Genomic DNA, 16,235 nt, shown 5'->3' on the forward strand with positions numbered 1-16,235 from the left:
TTTTCCTTTTTTACATCTTGGACATAAGTCAGGTGGCTCTCTACCTGTTGTAGTTGCTTGAATAGTTATATTCTGTTTATTTAAGACTGGGCAATTCTTTTTTAAGTGACCAATTTGACCACAATTATAACATTTTCTTCCAAATGTTCTAACTTGTCCTCCTAAAACAACTCCTGTTATTGCTTGAGCCATAAGCATAGCTTTATGCATAGCTCCTCCGATTCCATCACAGGCTTTTACATATTCTGAGATTACATCTGATCCTGCAGGAACCTTTCCTTTTAATGGCTTAATGGCTGATTGACACTCAGGATTGGCGTTTTCATATGCCATCAACTCCACTATGACCTTACGGGCTTTTTCATCGGCAATTGACTTTTGAGCAACATCTTGGAGCCTTGCCACAAAATCAGGATAGGGCTCTTTTGAACCTTGTCTTACTGTATTAAATGAGGGGCAGGTACTTCCTGGGTCTTGGATTTTTTCCCAGGCTCTAAGGCAGATAGCTCTAATTTGCTCAATGGCCTCATTTTGCATTAATGCTTGTTGACTAATAGTACTCCAATTTTGACCTATTCCTAATAGTTGATCTGCATCTATGTTAACTGGAGGATTGGCAGCCCTATTTCTTCGGACCTGTTCTTGTACCCCATCAATCCACCAAGTCTTAAATTGTAAAAATTGAGAGGGTGAGAGAGACGATTTTGCCAGAATCTCCCAATCATAAGGAATGAGTCTATGTCCATGAGCAATGGAATCTAATAATGTCCTCATATAAGGGGAGTTGGGTCCATACTGTTTTACTCCCTCTTTCATATCTTTTAGCTTTTTTATCGAAAAAGACTTGTATCTGGCCTCAACTGTGGGAGGCTCTCCCTCTTGGGCTCCTTCTCCAGGTGGCATCGGTTCTAACGTTACTGGGAATTGCCATGCCTCAGTATCTCCTTCCTTTCTTGATTTATCAATAATTTCATGTAATTTACTACCCTGTCTACTAGGTGGTGCCGTAGGATTAAGTCTCCTAGTGGGCGGCTGAGGGTATGGCGCCCTGCCCTGTGGTGCTGGGGGCATTCCTGGATATCCATACTGACTTTCTGGGGATGGCCGATACTGAAGTTCAGCCGGAGGCCAGTATTGATAGGCTACTGGCGGTTGGGTCTTATTTTCTTTAACCTGCTTTTGAGGTTGTAATGTTACAGGCACCTGACCTGCTGGAAGAGGACTTGTGCCTCATGGTTTAGACTCTGATGGCCCCACTAATTCTGGACCTTTTCCTTCTAATTTTAACGTTTCAGGATATATCACCTCCTGTAATTGATTATAGTCAACATTTTGCGTTGACTGAGCCATTACCGGCTCTGCTACATATTCGCAATGTAAACCTTCCGTTTCTTTCTGGGATTTTTTCCTTGTGTTTTCATTACAATCTATTATACAGCTTCCAGGGGCATCAGAAACTGAAACGCTATCTTCTTCTGTTTGAAATGGTTCTAAAGCTGCTTTAATAATGGCCCAATCATTCCATACTGTAAGTGGAATGATATTACCCTTCCTACCTGCTTGTTTTAGTTCCTTACCAATTCTTTTCCAATCTTTTAGATCTAAAGTTCCTTGTTCTGGAAACCATGGGCAAAATTGTTCTATTATTTGAAATAGCTTGATTAGATTTTTTGTAGATACTTTAACTCCCCGTCTTTTTAAAAGAATTTTAATAAAGCTGAGATAAGAGGCATATTTACTTTTAATTTTACTTTTAGTTTGCCCCATTATCACCCTAGCTTCTTCCGAGCGCACAAGCTTACCGTAAGGCTGACTGTAGATGTACTCGGGATCTCTCGTCGACTTGTCCTCAATGACCACGCTCGAGCGTACCTTCACCCTAGAGAAAAGACTCCACGTTGGGCACCAGATGTAGGGGTGGGTTGCCCCTACACACCTGTGGGTGTTTCTCGTAAGGTGGGACGAGAGATTTGGAAAAGAAAAAGACACAGAGACAAAGTATAGAGAAAGAAAGAAGGGGACCCGGGGAACCAGCGTTCAGCATATGGAGGATCCCGCCAGCCTCTGAGTTCCCTTAGTATTTACTGATCATCTGTGGGTGTTTCTCGAAGAGGGGGATGTGTCAGGGTCACAAGACAATTGTGGGGAGAGGGTCAGCAGACAAACATGTGAACAAAGGTCTTTGCATCATAGACAATGTAAAGGATTAAGTGCTGTGCTTTTAGATATGCATACACATAAACATCTCAGTGCTTTACAAAGCAGTATTGCTGCCCGCAGGTCCCACCTCCAGCCCTAAGGCGGTTTTTCCCTATCTCAGTAGATGGAGCATACAATCGGGTTTTATACCGAGACATTCCATTGCCCAGGGACAGGCAGGAGACAGATGCCTTCCTCTTGTCTCAACTGCAAGAGGCATTCCTTCCTCTTTTACTAATCCTCCTCAGCACAGACCCTTTACGGGTGTCGGGCTGGGGGACGGTCAGGTCTTTCCCTTCCCACGAGGCCATATTTCAGGCTATCACATGGGGAGAAACGTTGGACAATACCTGGCTTTCCTAGGCAGAGGTCCCTGCGGCCTTCCGCACTTTTTGTGTCCCTGGGTACTTGAGATTAGGGAGTGGTGATGACTCTTAAGGAGCATGCTGCCTTCAAGCATCTGTTTAACAAAGCACATCCTGCACCGCCCTTAATCCATTTAACCCTGAGTGGACACAGCACATGTTTCAGAGAGCACGGGGTTGGGGGTAAGGTCATAGATTAACAGAATCTCAAGGCAGAAGAATTTTTCTTAGTACATAACAAAATGGAGTCTCCTATGTCTACTTCTTTCTACACAGACACAGTAACAATCTGATCTCTCTTGCTTTTCCCCACATTTCCCCCTTTTCTTTTCGACAAAACCGCCATCGTCATCATGGCCCGTTCTCGATGGTCGCTGTCTCTTCGGAGCTGTTGGGTACACCTGCAGACTAACAACAGACAAAACAGGCACACAAGGATTAATATGAGATTTATAATCGTAGTACTTCCAATGGTCTTAACCCAAGTGACAGGGTTAAGATTTGCGAGGCCATCAGCAACTCCTGCAATTGCCTCAGTTCCTGGCACCAAATTTAAATGGGCTTTTGATGCTTCGAAAATTTGTTCTTTTAATTTGGAAATGTCTAAAGTGAGATTATCTTCTCTTCCCTGTAGATGGCGTCTAACCATGTCCCAGTGATGCTCAGACTCATTATAAATTTGGGGTGTAATACAAAAATCTGACGTATTCCAGTCACATTGTAACTGGAAACGATGTTCTAAGCTCATGAGTCTGTCTCCCATCCAAATGACAGTTTGTCTAAGATCATTAATTTGATTTGCCAATTTTTGATCAATACTAGATTGTGAATTCCACAATCTTGTAGAATTTTTTTGCCAATCATTAACAAAGTTTACTGACTGAACAGAAGAGTGCAATGCAACTCCTGCTACAGCAGCCGTAGCTGTGACTGCAATTAATCCCATAATCACTGCAATTAAAGTAAAAATGAATCTTTTGGATCTATTTAAAACACCTTTTAATACTTCAGTCAAAATATGGACGGATGGCGAGGCCTCCCACGGTCGGTCCATGGACACAGGGATCCACACGCCCTCTCTTGCTCTCACCAGCAGAATACGGTGTTGCCAATTAAAAGTTGAATCAATGCAAGTAAGCAATCTACAATTTTCACAGGTTATAGTCTGGGAGTCTGGTTTAATAACTATATTTCCTACAACTAGCATATAAGGGGGCTTTACGCAACTTTGTAAAGGAACTGTTAGACTGGAATTCAGGTCAATAGTATAAAATGGCTTACGATCTCTTGTTTCTAAAGTTTGATTTCCAGACCAAATTCTAATGTGGTGTGAGGCCACAGTAAGCCTCCATAATTCTGGATGTTCAGGACCAGAAACAGGACTTACTATTTTTGGTCTTGGGGTAGAGATTCCTTTTTCTCCCCATTCCCAAGGGTAGAAAGACTGCAATTTTTTATGCTTATGTTTGTCTAAACTTTCTGTTAAGTCGCTATCAACAGCTGGACTCACTTGTGCACTTGGACACGACTGAGTTTGTCCTGAGCAATTGTGGTAGAATTGACCTCGAGGTGCCCAATCTATAATAGTTCCGAATTCATTGTTTTGTAATATCACCGCACTATTGGCCACACATTCTTCCCAAACTAAAACTTCTGTATTTTTTGATTCTTTGGGAATTTCCTTGGGGCAAGGTTTCCCTTTAGGTCTAAATTTTAATGATCTTTGATAAGAAAAGTCTTGTAAATAATTTACCCGTGGCCTGAGTGACATCCCGCTTACCATGTGATAAGTGAATCTACAGATGGGACTGACAGTAGGTACTTCTACCAACCAATTTTGGACTGCAGGCATTAAACATCCTGGTGCTCTCCCTAGGCAAATAGGAGGATAATGATACCCAATGGAAATATTTATCATCATCCCTTCTTCCTCAGGTTTGGCAGGGCAGCGATCATCTATGGGGCCAGGTACCCATACACTATCATTAACATATACTTCTGTAGGATTATCCATCCATGTGACTGCCCGAATTAAGGGCGGGAAAGGCACATAGGCCCAGTAGGTATAGTTAGCTGCAGCTGCTCCTGCAGGCATAGGGAGACTTACCACCATTGATACAATCATCAAGGCTGCAAGCAGCATACTCTCTGGGGTTTGTGTCACCTTTGTGTTCTCTAGATATTTTGTAGCTAACTGCGTCAGCTTCTTTAGTTGTGCCCAAGTTGGCGGCTCTGCCTTCTTGGTGGATGGCAACTTCATCTGTTCTTCTGACGTCACCATTTTGTTCATCTTGTGAGTCAACGGTGCTCGATTGCGATGTCTCCGTCTCCGCGGAGGTGCTTTTCTTTGCATCTCTGATGGGTTCATTGTAGAACTTCAAATGTCTAGTGGGTATCCAAACAGGAAGCTGATTTTCTCCTGGTGAAACACAAGCAAAACCTCTCCCCCACGTTATCACCTTCCCTATTTCCCATGTCTTATTTTTATTATCTTTCCACCAAATTAGTTTTCCTTCATGTGGGCTGTTCTTTTTACCAGTAAGATGTTGTTCTGCAGAAGTAGTAGTCTGATTTCTATAAATGTTTAAAAAATTTAAAGTATAGAGTGCTAGATTAAGTTGCATCTGAGGAGTGGTACACTCCTTACTGTCTCCCCCTTCTTTTTGTTTAACTAATTGAGTTTTGAGTGTTCTATTAGTTCTTTCAACTATGGCCTGTCCTTGGGAATTATAAGGAATTCCTGTTGTATGTGAAATTTTCCACTGACTTAAGAATTTTTGGAAAGCTTTACTACAATATCCTGGTCCATTGTCAGTTTTGATTTTTTCTGGAACTCCCATTACAGCAAAACAAGACAATAAATGTTTTTTAACATGGGAAGTACTTTCTCCTGTTTGGCAAGTTGCCCATATGAAATGTGAATAAGTATCAACTGTTACGTGAACATATGATAATCTTCCAAATGAAGGTACATGCGTGACATCCATTTGCCATAATGCATTAGGACACAGACCTCTGGGATTAACTCCTGCCTCTTGAGTGGGCAGGTGTAAGACTTGACACTGGGTGCAATGTTGTACAATATCTTTTGCCTGTTTCCATGTGACATCAAATTTGTTTTTTAATCCTGCTGCATTTACATGAGTCAAAGCATGAAGTTCTTGTGCTTTTATGAGTGCAGATGATACCAGTAAGTCAGCTTGTTCATTTGCTTTAGTCAAAGGCCCTGGTAAATTAGTGTGTGCTCGAATATGTGTAATATAAAATGGGAAATTTCTTTTTCTTACAGTTTGTTGTAATAAATTGAATAGCTGGTTTAACTGATCATCCATGCTATATTTAATTAGAGCTGTCTCAACATCCCTTGTAGCCTGTACTACATATGCAGAATCTGATATAATATTGATAGGTTGGTCAAAATCTTGTAACACTGTAATGACTGCAACCAACTCTGCTCTTTGAGCCGATTGATATGGAGTTTTGATTACTCGTTCTTTCGGTCCTGTGTAAGCTGCTTTTCCATTGCTGGAACCATCAGTAAATACTGTTAGAGCATTTTCTAAAGGTTCACGTCTGGTAATTTTAGGTAGAATCCAAGTAGTCAATTTTAAGAACTGGAAGATCTTTGTTTTTGGGTAATGATTATCAATAATTCCCACAAAATTAGCAAGACCAATCTTCCATGCACCAGAATTGATAAAGGCTTGTCTAACTTGTTCCTTGGTTAAAGGGACAACTATTTTGTCTGGGTCATTCCCACATAATTTTATTATTCGTAATCTTGTCTGACCGATTAATGTAGCTATTTGATCCAAGTACAATGTAAAAGTCTTAACTGTACTGTGAGGAAGGAATGACCACTCCACAAGATCAGTATTTTGAATAATGATGCCTGTTGGAGAATGTGCAGTGGCAAAAATCAAAAGTTGGAGTGGGGCTAAGGGATCTATTCTATTTATTTGCGCTGACTGAATTTTTTCTTCCACTAATTTAATTTCTTTTGTTGCCTCTGGGGTTAACATTCTTTTACTATTTAAGTCTGAGTCTCCTCTTAAGATAGAGAACAAATTTGACATGGCATAAGTAGGAATGCCTAGAGTTGGCCGAATCCAATTAATATCTCCTAGTAATTTTTGAAAATCATTTAGTGTTTTTAATGTGTCTTTTCTTATTTCTATTTTTTGTGGCTTAATTTTTCTATTTTCTATCTGCATCCCTAAATAATGAAAAGGAGTAGAGGTTTGGATCTTATCAGATGCTATTGCCAGTCCAGCATTGGCAACCTCTGCTTGCAGAAATGTATAACAGTCAATTAATTTATCTTTCGTTTCTGCAGCACATAAAATATCATCAATATAATGAATAATATAACAGTCTGAAAACTTTTCTCTAACTGGTTGAAGAGCTCGACCTACAAAAGTCTGACAAATAGTTGGACTATTAAGCATTCCCTGAGGTAACACTTTCCACTGAAACCTGGTGGCTGGTTCTTTATTATTTATGGCTGGTATAGTAAAGGCAAATTTTTCGCAATCCTGCTCTGCCAGAGGGATGGTAAAAAAGCAATCCTTTAGATCAATTATAATTAAAGGCCAATCTTTTGGGATCATGGCCGGAGAGGGCAACCCGGGTTGGAGAGGCCCCATGGGTTGAATTACGGCGTTTACAGCCCTTAAGTCAGTTAACATACGCCATTTGCCTGATTTCTTCTGAATTACAAACACAGGAGAATTCCAAGGTGAGAACGAAGGCTCAATATGACCCTTTTCTAACTGTTCATTTGCTAATAAATGTAAAGCCTCCAGTTTTTGTTTTGGTAGCGGCCACTGATTTACCCACACTGGTTTTTCTGTTTTCCAAGTTAATGGTATGGGTTTAGGAGGCTCTACAGTGGCCGCCCCTAACAAGGATTCCCTATTCCTTCTCTTTCTTGATTTATTTTAGCCTCAACTGGAATTTTAATGCCATCTTCATTTTTCCCTAGTCCCTTTCCTGGTATATATCCCATCGTGGTCATGATTTTTTGACTCGTGGGGCTATATGATGGAGCGGGCATGGTGATTTCCGCACCCCATTGTTGTAATAAATCTCGACCCCACAGATTAAGAGGAATTGAAGTAATCATTGGCTGAACAGTACTTTCTTGATTATCTGGCCCTAAGCAATGTAAAATCTCCGTACTTTGATACACTTCTGAGGCTGTGCCTATGCCGACAAGTCCTGTAACAGCCTTTTGTTTAGGCCAATTTTTTGGCCACTGATTTAAAGCAATGATAGAGACATCTGCTCCAGTGTCTACCAACCCTTCAAACTGTTTTCCTTGAATAATGGCCTTACACACAGGTCTGTTCTCTGAGACCTGACTTGCCCAATATGCAGCCTTTCCTGTTGGATCGGTGCTTCCAAGCCCTCCTATTCTTTTTATTTCACTATTTCCACCCTTAATATATGGCAGGAGTAATAATTGAGCAATCCTGTCTCTTGGACTGGCACTCCAAGGAATTGAAGAGCTAATAACCAATTGAATTTCGCCTTTATAGTCTGAATCAACCACACTAGTATGAATTTGAACTCCTTTTAGATTTAGACTTGATCGTCCCAAGATTAGTCCTACAGTCCCCTTAGGCAGGGGTCCATATACCCCTGTGGGGGTTTTTTGTGGGGCTCCCCTGGAAGCAGAGAGACTGCTTGTATAGTACATAAATCTACTGCTGCACTGCCGCTTGTGGCGGGGGACAATTGTTGTATTGTGGTAACTGGCTTATTCCCTGAAACACTTGGGACAGTGGGGGTTGTTGTCCCTGAAAACCCTGAGGAACAAATGGCTGAATTGGGAATGCCCCAGTTTGTTGTGGGGCCTGAGGCTGGCCCCTTTGCTCGTTTCCCGACAATGGTTGCCCATTTTTATCAAATTTAGAACGACATTGACTAGCCCAATGTTTTCCTTTTTTACATCTTGGACATAAGTCAGGTGGCTCTCTACCTGTTGTAGTTGCTTGAATAGTTATATTCTGTTTATTTAAGACTGGGCAATTCTTTTTTAAGTGACCAATTTGACCACAATTATAACATTTTCTTCCAAATGTTCTAACTTGTCCTCCTAAAACAACTCCTGTTATTGCTTGAGCCATAAGCATAGCTTTATGCATAGCTCCTCCGATTCCATCACAGGCTTTTACATATTCTGAGATTACATCTGATCCTGCAGGAACCTTTCCTTTTAATGGCTTAATGGCTGATTGACACTCAGGATTGGCGTTTTCATATGCCATCAACTCCACTATGACCTTACGGGCTTTTTCATCAGCAATTGACTTTTGAGCAACATCTTGGAGCCTTGCCACAAAATCAGGATAGGGCTCTTTTGAACCTTGTCTTACTGTATTAAATGAGGGGCAGGTACTTCCTGGGTCTTGGATTTTTTCCCAGGCTCTAAGGCAGATAGCTCTAACTTGCTCAATGGCCTCATTTTGCATTAATGCTTGTTGACTAATAGTACTCCAATTTTGACCTATTCCTAATAGTTGATCTGCATCTATGTTAACTGGAGGATTGGCAGCCCTATTTCTTCGGACCTGTTCTTGTACCCCATCAATCCACCAAGTCTTAAATTATAAAAATTGAGAGGGTGAGAGAGACGATTTTGCCAGAATCTCCCAATCATAAGGAATGAGTCTATGTCCATGAGCAATGGAATCTAATAATGTCCTCATATAAGGGGAGTTGGGTCCATACTGTTTTACTCCCTCTTTCATATCTTTTAGCTTTTTTATCGAAAAAGACTTGTATCTGGCCTCAACTGTGGGAGGCTCTCCCTCTTGGGCTCCTTCTCCAGGTGGCATCGGTTCTAACGTTACTGGGAATTGCCATGCCTCAGTATCTCCTTCCTTTCTTGATTTATCAATAATTTCATGTAATTTACTACCCTGTCTACTAGGTGGTGCCGTAGGATTAAGTCTCCTAGTGGGCGGCTGAGGGTATGGCGCCCTGCCCTGTGGTGCTGGGGGCATTCCTGGATATCCATACTGACTTTCTGGGGATGGCCGATACTGAAGTTCAGCCGGAGGCCAGTATTGATAGGCTACTGGCGGTTGGGTCTTATTTTCTTTAACCTGCTTTTGAGGTTGTAATGTTACAGGCACCTGACCTGCTGGAAGAGGACTTGTGCCTCGTGGTTTAGACTCTGATGGCCCCACTAATTCTGGACCTTTTCCTTCTAATTTTAACGTTTCAGGATATATCACCTCCTGTAATTGATTATAGTCAACATTTTGCGTTGACTGAGCCATTACCGGCTCTGCTACATATTCGCAATGTAAACCTTCCGTTTCTTTCTGGGATTTTTTCCTTGTGTTTTCATTACAATCTATTATACAGCTTCCAGGGGCATCAGAAACTGAAACGCTATCTTCTTCTGTTTGAAATGGTTCTAAAGCTGCTTTAATAATGGCCCAATCATTCCATACTGTAAGTGGAATGATATTACCCTTCCTACCTGCTTGTTTTAGTTCCTTACCAATTCTTTTCCAATCTTTTAGATCTAAAGTTCCTTGTTCTGGAAACCATGGGCAAAATTGTTCTATTATTTGAAATAGCTTGATTAGATTTTTTGTAGATACTTTAACTCCCCGTCTTTTTAAAAGAATTTTAATAAAGCTGAGATAAGAGGCATATTTACTTTTAATTTTACTTTTAGTTTGCCCCATTATCACCCTAGCTTCTTCCGAGCGCACAAGCTTACCGTAAGGCTGACTGTAGATGTACTCGGGATCTCTCGTCGACTTGTCCTCAATGACCACGCTCGAGCGTACCTTCACCCTAGAGAAAAGCCTCCACGTTGGGCACCAGATGTAGGGGTGGGTTGCCCCTACACACCTGTGGGTGTTTCTCGTAAGGTGGGACGAGAGATTTGGAAAAGAAAAAGACACAGAGACAAAGTATAGAGAAAGAAAGAAGGGGACCCGGGGAACCAGCGTTCAGCATATGGAGGATCCCGCCAGCCTCTGAGTTCCCTTAGTATTTATTGATCATCTGTGGGTGTTTCTCGAAGAGGGGGATGTGTCAGGGTCACAAGACAATTGTGGGGAGAGGGTCAGCAGACAAACATGTGAACAAAGGTCTTTGCATCATAGACAATGTAAAGGATTAAGTGCTGTGCTTTTAGATATGCATACACATAAACATCTCAGTGCTTTACAAAGCAGTATTGCTGCCCGCAGGTCCCACCTCCAGCCCTAAGGCGGTTTTTCCCTATCTCAGTAGATGGAGCATACAATCGGGTTTTATACCGAGACATTCCATTGCCCAGGGACAGGCAGGAGACAGATGCCTTCCTCTTGTCTCAACTGCAAGAGGCATTCCTTCCTCTTTTACTAATCCTCCTCAGCACAGACCCTTTACGGGTGTCGGGCTGGGGGACGGTCAGGTCTTTCCCTTCCCACGAGGCCATATTTCAGGCTATCACATGGGGAGAAACGTTGGACAATACCTGGCTTTCCTAGGCAGAGGTCCCTGCGGCCTTCCGCAGTTTTTGTGTCCCTGGGTACTTGAGATTAGGGAGTGGTGATGACTCTTAAGGAGCATGCTGCCTTCAAGCATCTGTTTAACAAAGCACATCCTGCACCGCCCTTAATCCATTTAACCCTGAGTGGACACAGCACATGTTTCAGAGAGCACGGGGTTGGGGGTAAGGTCATAGATTAACAGAATCTCAAGGCAGAAGAATTTTTCTTAGTACATAACAAAATGGAGTCTCCTATGTCTACTTCTTTCTACACAGACACAGTAACAATCTGATCTCTCTTGCTTTTCCCCACAGAAACCCATCTCTACTAAAAATAAAAAACTAGCTGGGCGTGATGGCGCACTCCTGTAACCCTAGCTACTTGGGAGGCTGAGGCAGGAGAATCCCTTGAACCAGGAGGGCAGAGGTTGCAATGAGCCGAGACTGTGCTACTGCACTCCAGCCTGGGCAACAGAGTGAGACTTCGTCTCAAAAAAAAAAAAAAAAGAAAGAAAAAAGAGAGAAGAAAAATCATCTCTTGGGTGCTGTGGGTATTGTGTTCACTGGGTGACAAGATGGATAGAAGCCCAAACGTCAGCATCGTTCAGTACACTCACACATGAACCCCCTGAATCTAAATTGTTTTTTTTTGTTGTTGTTTTTTTTGAGATGGAGTTTCACTCTTGTTGCCCAGGCTGGAGTGCAATGGTGCAATCTCAGCTCACCGCAACCTCCACCTCCCGGGTTCAAGCAATTCTCCTGCCTCAGCCTCCCAAGTAGCTGGGACTACAGGTGCACACCACCACGCCCTGCTAATGTTTTTGTATTTTTAGGAGAGACGGGGTTTCTCCATGTTGGTCAGGCTGGTCTTGAACTCCCAACCTCAGGTGAGCCACCCGCCTTGACCTCCCAAAGTGCTGGGATTACAGGCGTGAGCCACTGCCCCTGGCCCTGAATCTAAAATTTTTTTTAAGAAACAACTCAGGACCGGGCACGGTGGCTCACGCCTGTAATCTCAACACTTTGGGAGGCCAAGGCAGGCCGATCATGAGGTCAGGAGATCAAGACCATCCAGGCTAACACGGTGAAACCCCGTCTCTACTAAAAATACAAAAAATTAGCCGGGCGTGATGGCGGGCGCCTGTACTCCCAGCTACTCGGGAGGCTGACGCAGGAGAATGGCGTGAACCCGGGAGGTGGAGCTTGCAGTGAGCCGAGATCGCACCCACTGCACTCCAGCCTGGGCAATAGAGCAAGACTCCATCTCAAAAAAAAAAAAAAGAAAAGAAAGAAAAAAGAAGCAACTCAGAAACAAAATCAAATATGGCATGTTCTTATTTATCAGTGGGAGCTAAATCACGTGTACCCATGGACATAGAATGTGTAATAATAGACACTGGAGACTCTGAAGGGTGGGGGCAGGGGGAGAGAGGAATAAGAAGTTACTCAATGGGTACGATGTACACTATTCAAGTGATGGTTACACTAAAAGCCCAGACTTCCCCACTGTGAAATATATCCTTGTAACAAGAAAACATATCCATGTAACAAAACTGCACTGTATCTTTTAAATTGATACGAATAAAAACTACCACCGGGAGGGCGCAGTGGCTGACGCCTGTAATCCCAGGACTTTGGGAGGCTAAGGTGGGTGGATCACCTGAGGTCAGGAGTTCAAGACCAGCCTGACCAACGTCGTGAAACCGCATCTCTACTAAAAATACAAAAATTAGCCAGGCATGGTAGAGCGTGTTTGTAGTCGCGGCACATTGGGAGGCCGAGGTGGGCGGATCGCTTGAGATCAGGAGTTCGAGACCAGCCTGGCCAACATGGCAAAACCCCGCCTCTACTAAATATATAAAAATGAGCCGAGCGTAGTGGTGGGCGTCTGTAATCCCAGCTACTCAGGAGGCTAAGGCAGGAGAATCACTTGAAGCCAGGAGGTGGAGGTTGCAGTGAGCCGAGACGGTGCCACTGCACTCCAGCCTGGGCGACAGAGCAAGACTCCATCTCAAAAAAAACCCAAAAAAAGCACATGATAGAATGTGTGTTTATTGTGTTGTACATGCTCATGTGTTTATAGCTGTTTCGCTTTTATAAATGTGGATGTATTGTTTGCAAATGCCTTATATGCAAAATTAAATGTATGGAAGTTCACAAGTCAAAAAACATGGGATAAAAACATAATTCAGCCAGTAACATGGGGAACCACTGAGAATGAGTACCTCTTCACTGCAACCACAACACAACTTGCTGCCCTGCAGCTTCCGGAATATTCAGCATGCAGATAAAATTATGCAGTTTCTAAGATCCCTTTGACACATTCAGGATTTTATCTGGAGATGGAAGGCAATCCCAGAAAAAGAAATCATGTCTTTTCTGCAAATGAGAGTGAGAATATGGTGTGTGTCAGCATGTGCAAACCCAAATCATCTATCTTCAAGTCTTAGGGTAGTAAATCACTGACTGTAAACTTCTTTGAAAAACACCAAGCCTGTGGATTGGAAGCAGTGCTAGAATTTGTTTTTCGTGGTCTGTCTTTCTTTCTTTCTTTCTTTCTTTCTTTCTTTCTTTCTTTCTTTCTATCTTTCTTTCTTTCTTTCTTTCTTTCTTTCTTTCTTTCCTTCCTTCCTTCCTTCCTTCCTTCCTTCTTTCTTTCTTTCTTTCTTTCTTTCCTTTCATTTTCCTAACCTAAAGCTTAGAGTTGCAGACGTTTTTGATGCACACTGCCAACCTGCTCTCCCTCCTGATGGGAACCATTCAAACTCCCTGGGAAAGACACAGGGACCATTGTATCCACTCCCTGGTCCCTTGTCCTCATTTCCTACTGGTTGCCTGGCCTGAGATTCTGGTCCTGACCCAACCCTTGCTTCTCCACCTTGCCTTATTTGGCTTCAGGAAGCAAGTATCTCAGGTACTAGGCTCTCCCCAGAATACCCCAGACGAGATCCCAATACGAGGCACAGCTGAGCCGGAGCACTCCCCTGCCCCGTGCTGACCCAGCTTCCTGCACCTGTGTGGCCCCAGCATTCCCTGCAAAGCCTTCCCCATGAGGCAGGCTAGGCCTGGGCCCCCAGTCAGCTTCCCAAGTCCCACGCCGTTGGGGGCTCCCCCTGTCAGCACAGCACCTCCTCCCTGATGTGTCTCCTGGCCCACTTCCTGGAATGCCCAGGCCGGCCTCCGCCGGGCCACAGTCACCTTCTAGCAGCCCAAGCCACAGTGTCCACCGCCTGCCCTAAAACTCCAGGGCTCCCCACATCTGCAAAGATCGGACGTCATGGCTTGAAATTCAAAGTCCTCCTTGATCAGGTCCCAACCACCAGCCAGCCTTGTCTCCCTTCACACACTGCACAACACACACACACACACACAATGCATGTGCACACACCACACATACACGTGCACACATGCATGCATACCACACAAGCACATGCACACATACACACCACTCACAAACACACATATACACACCACACACGTGTGCTCACATACACACCACTCACAAACACACATATACACACCACACACGTGTGCTCACATACACACCACTCACACACATACCACACACGTGTGCTCACATACACACCACTCACAAACACATATACACATCACACACGTGTGCTCACATACACACCACTCACACACATACCACACACGTGCTCACATACACACCACTCACAAACACACATATACACACCACACACGTGTGCTCACATACACACAACTCACAAACACATATACACACCACACACGTGTGCTCACATACACACCACTCACAAACACATATACACACCACACACGTGTGCTCACATACACACCACTCACAAACACACATATACACACCCCACACGTGTGCTCACATACACACCACTCACAAACACATATACACACCACACACGTGTGCTCACATACATATGACAAACTAGCACGTGTGTGCACAATACACACATACATCTCACACACGTGCATATACACAACACGCATGTGCACGTACACACATTACACATCTAAGCACACATGTGCACACATGCACATATGCACACAACACGTACATATATACACATACACATATCACATGCCTGCATGTGCATACATGCACACATACCACACACATGCAACACATAACACACATACACCACACACACAGGTACACACATACCACACACATAAGCATGCAGAAATACATACACATACACAATCACACACACACATAAGCATACATCACTCTCACACCCCCGCACACAACCACCACCCTCTGAACCAAACCCTGCCTTGCCTTTTCCCTGCAGGCTCCTCAGCCTGAGACCCCCCGCATTGCTTCTCTTCTCCATTGTTCAAAACTCTACTCACTTCTCAAGCCCCAAGTCAAATGCCACAGCTTCCCCGAGAAGCTTCTCACTCGCCCTAGCTTGCTCTGTGCCCTAGGAGGAATAAACCCTCAAGTCGTGATCATTTGTCCTGGACATTGCCATGCAGGGCCTTCAAAACACCTTCCCACAACTGCAAGGAATTCTCCCCTTGGAAGCCAGGACTCAGCCTCCCAGACACCCTCGAGAGCCGGCACCTCGCACAGGTGCCGCCCATCAGATGCATCTCCACAAGGCCCCCACCCAAACGAGAGCACCTGAGGAAGGACACCACCCTATGGAAAGCGATATGGGACTGAGAGGCAGCCATAACAGAGCCCTGGTGGGGCATACCCCACGTGGGGGGCCGTGGAGAGAAAGTGGTGGGAGGAGCGTCTCCATGGGGTCCTGTGGGGTCACACGGGTGTTACACTGGCTCAGCTGATTCTCCTGCCTCAACCTCCCGCGCAGCTGGGACTACAGGCCCACGCTACCATGCCCAGCTAATTTCTTTAAATTTTGTGTAGAAATGGGGTCTCACTATGTTACCCAGGCTGGTCTTGAACTCCTAGGCTCAATCAATTCTCCCACCTCAGCCTCCCGAAGTGCTGGGGTTACAGGCGTGAGCCGCTGTGCCCAGCCCATGGCCTCCATTTCTGATCTCTGATCTCTGTCCCAACCCCTTCCCACCCAACACGTCACTAAGCTACCTAAATTCCTTTCTATCCAGAGTGGCCTGTGTGGTTTGCAACTAGGAATCCTGCCCAAAATGCCTGCTCCCTCTGGGTTCCAACTGGTGCCTCTGCTAGGGTGTCCTGCTTT

The 16,235-nt window shown here is 44.1% G+C and overlaps 1 protein-coding gene across 1 annotated transcript, besides 1 other annotated feature; it reads right to left on the bottom strand.

The window, feature by feature from the left end:
- Window positions 1–2,832: 2,832 nt before the first annotated feature.
- On the bottom strand, window positions 2,833–10,488 carry LOC124901580 (endogenous retrovirus group K member 6 Env polyprotein). The gene is made up of 2 exons (XM_047421136.1): window positions 10,306–10,488; window positions 2,833–4,949 (listed from the first exon to the last, which is right to left on the bottom strand). Exon 2 carries the CDS (start codon window positions 4,930–4,932, stop codon window positions 2,833–2,835), a length of 2,100 nt encoding a protein of 699 aa, XP_047277092.1. The 5' UTR covers window positions 4,933–4,949; window positions 10,306–10,488.
- Window positions 15,267–15,768: an enhancer, noted in NCBI's record as "H3K4me1 hESC enhancer chr7:4643917-4644418 (GRCh37/hg19 assembly coordinates)". NCBI's record gives its function as "activates a minimal SCP1, AML or CMV promoter by ChIP-STARR-seq in naive and primed H9 embryonic stem cells {active_cell/tissue: H9 hESC(naive and primed)}" and the evidence as "EXISTENCE:reporter gene assay evidence [ECO:0000049][PMID:30033119]".

This window comes from Homo sapiens, chromosome 7 (assembly GCF_000001405.40).
Source record: "Homo sapiens chromosome 7, GRCh38.p14 Primary Assembly".
Taxonomy (NCBI): Eukaryota; Metazoa; Chordata; class Mammalia; order Primates; family Hominidae; genus Homo; species Homo sapiens.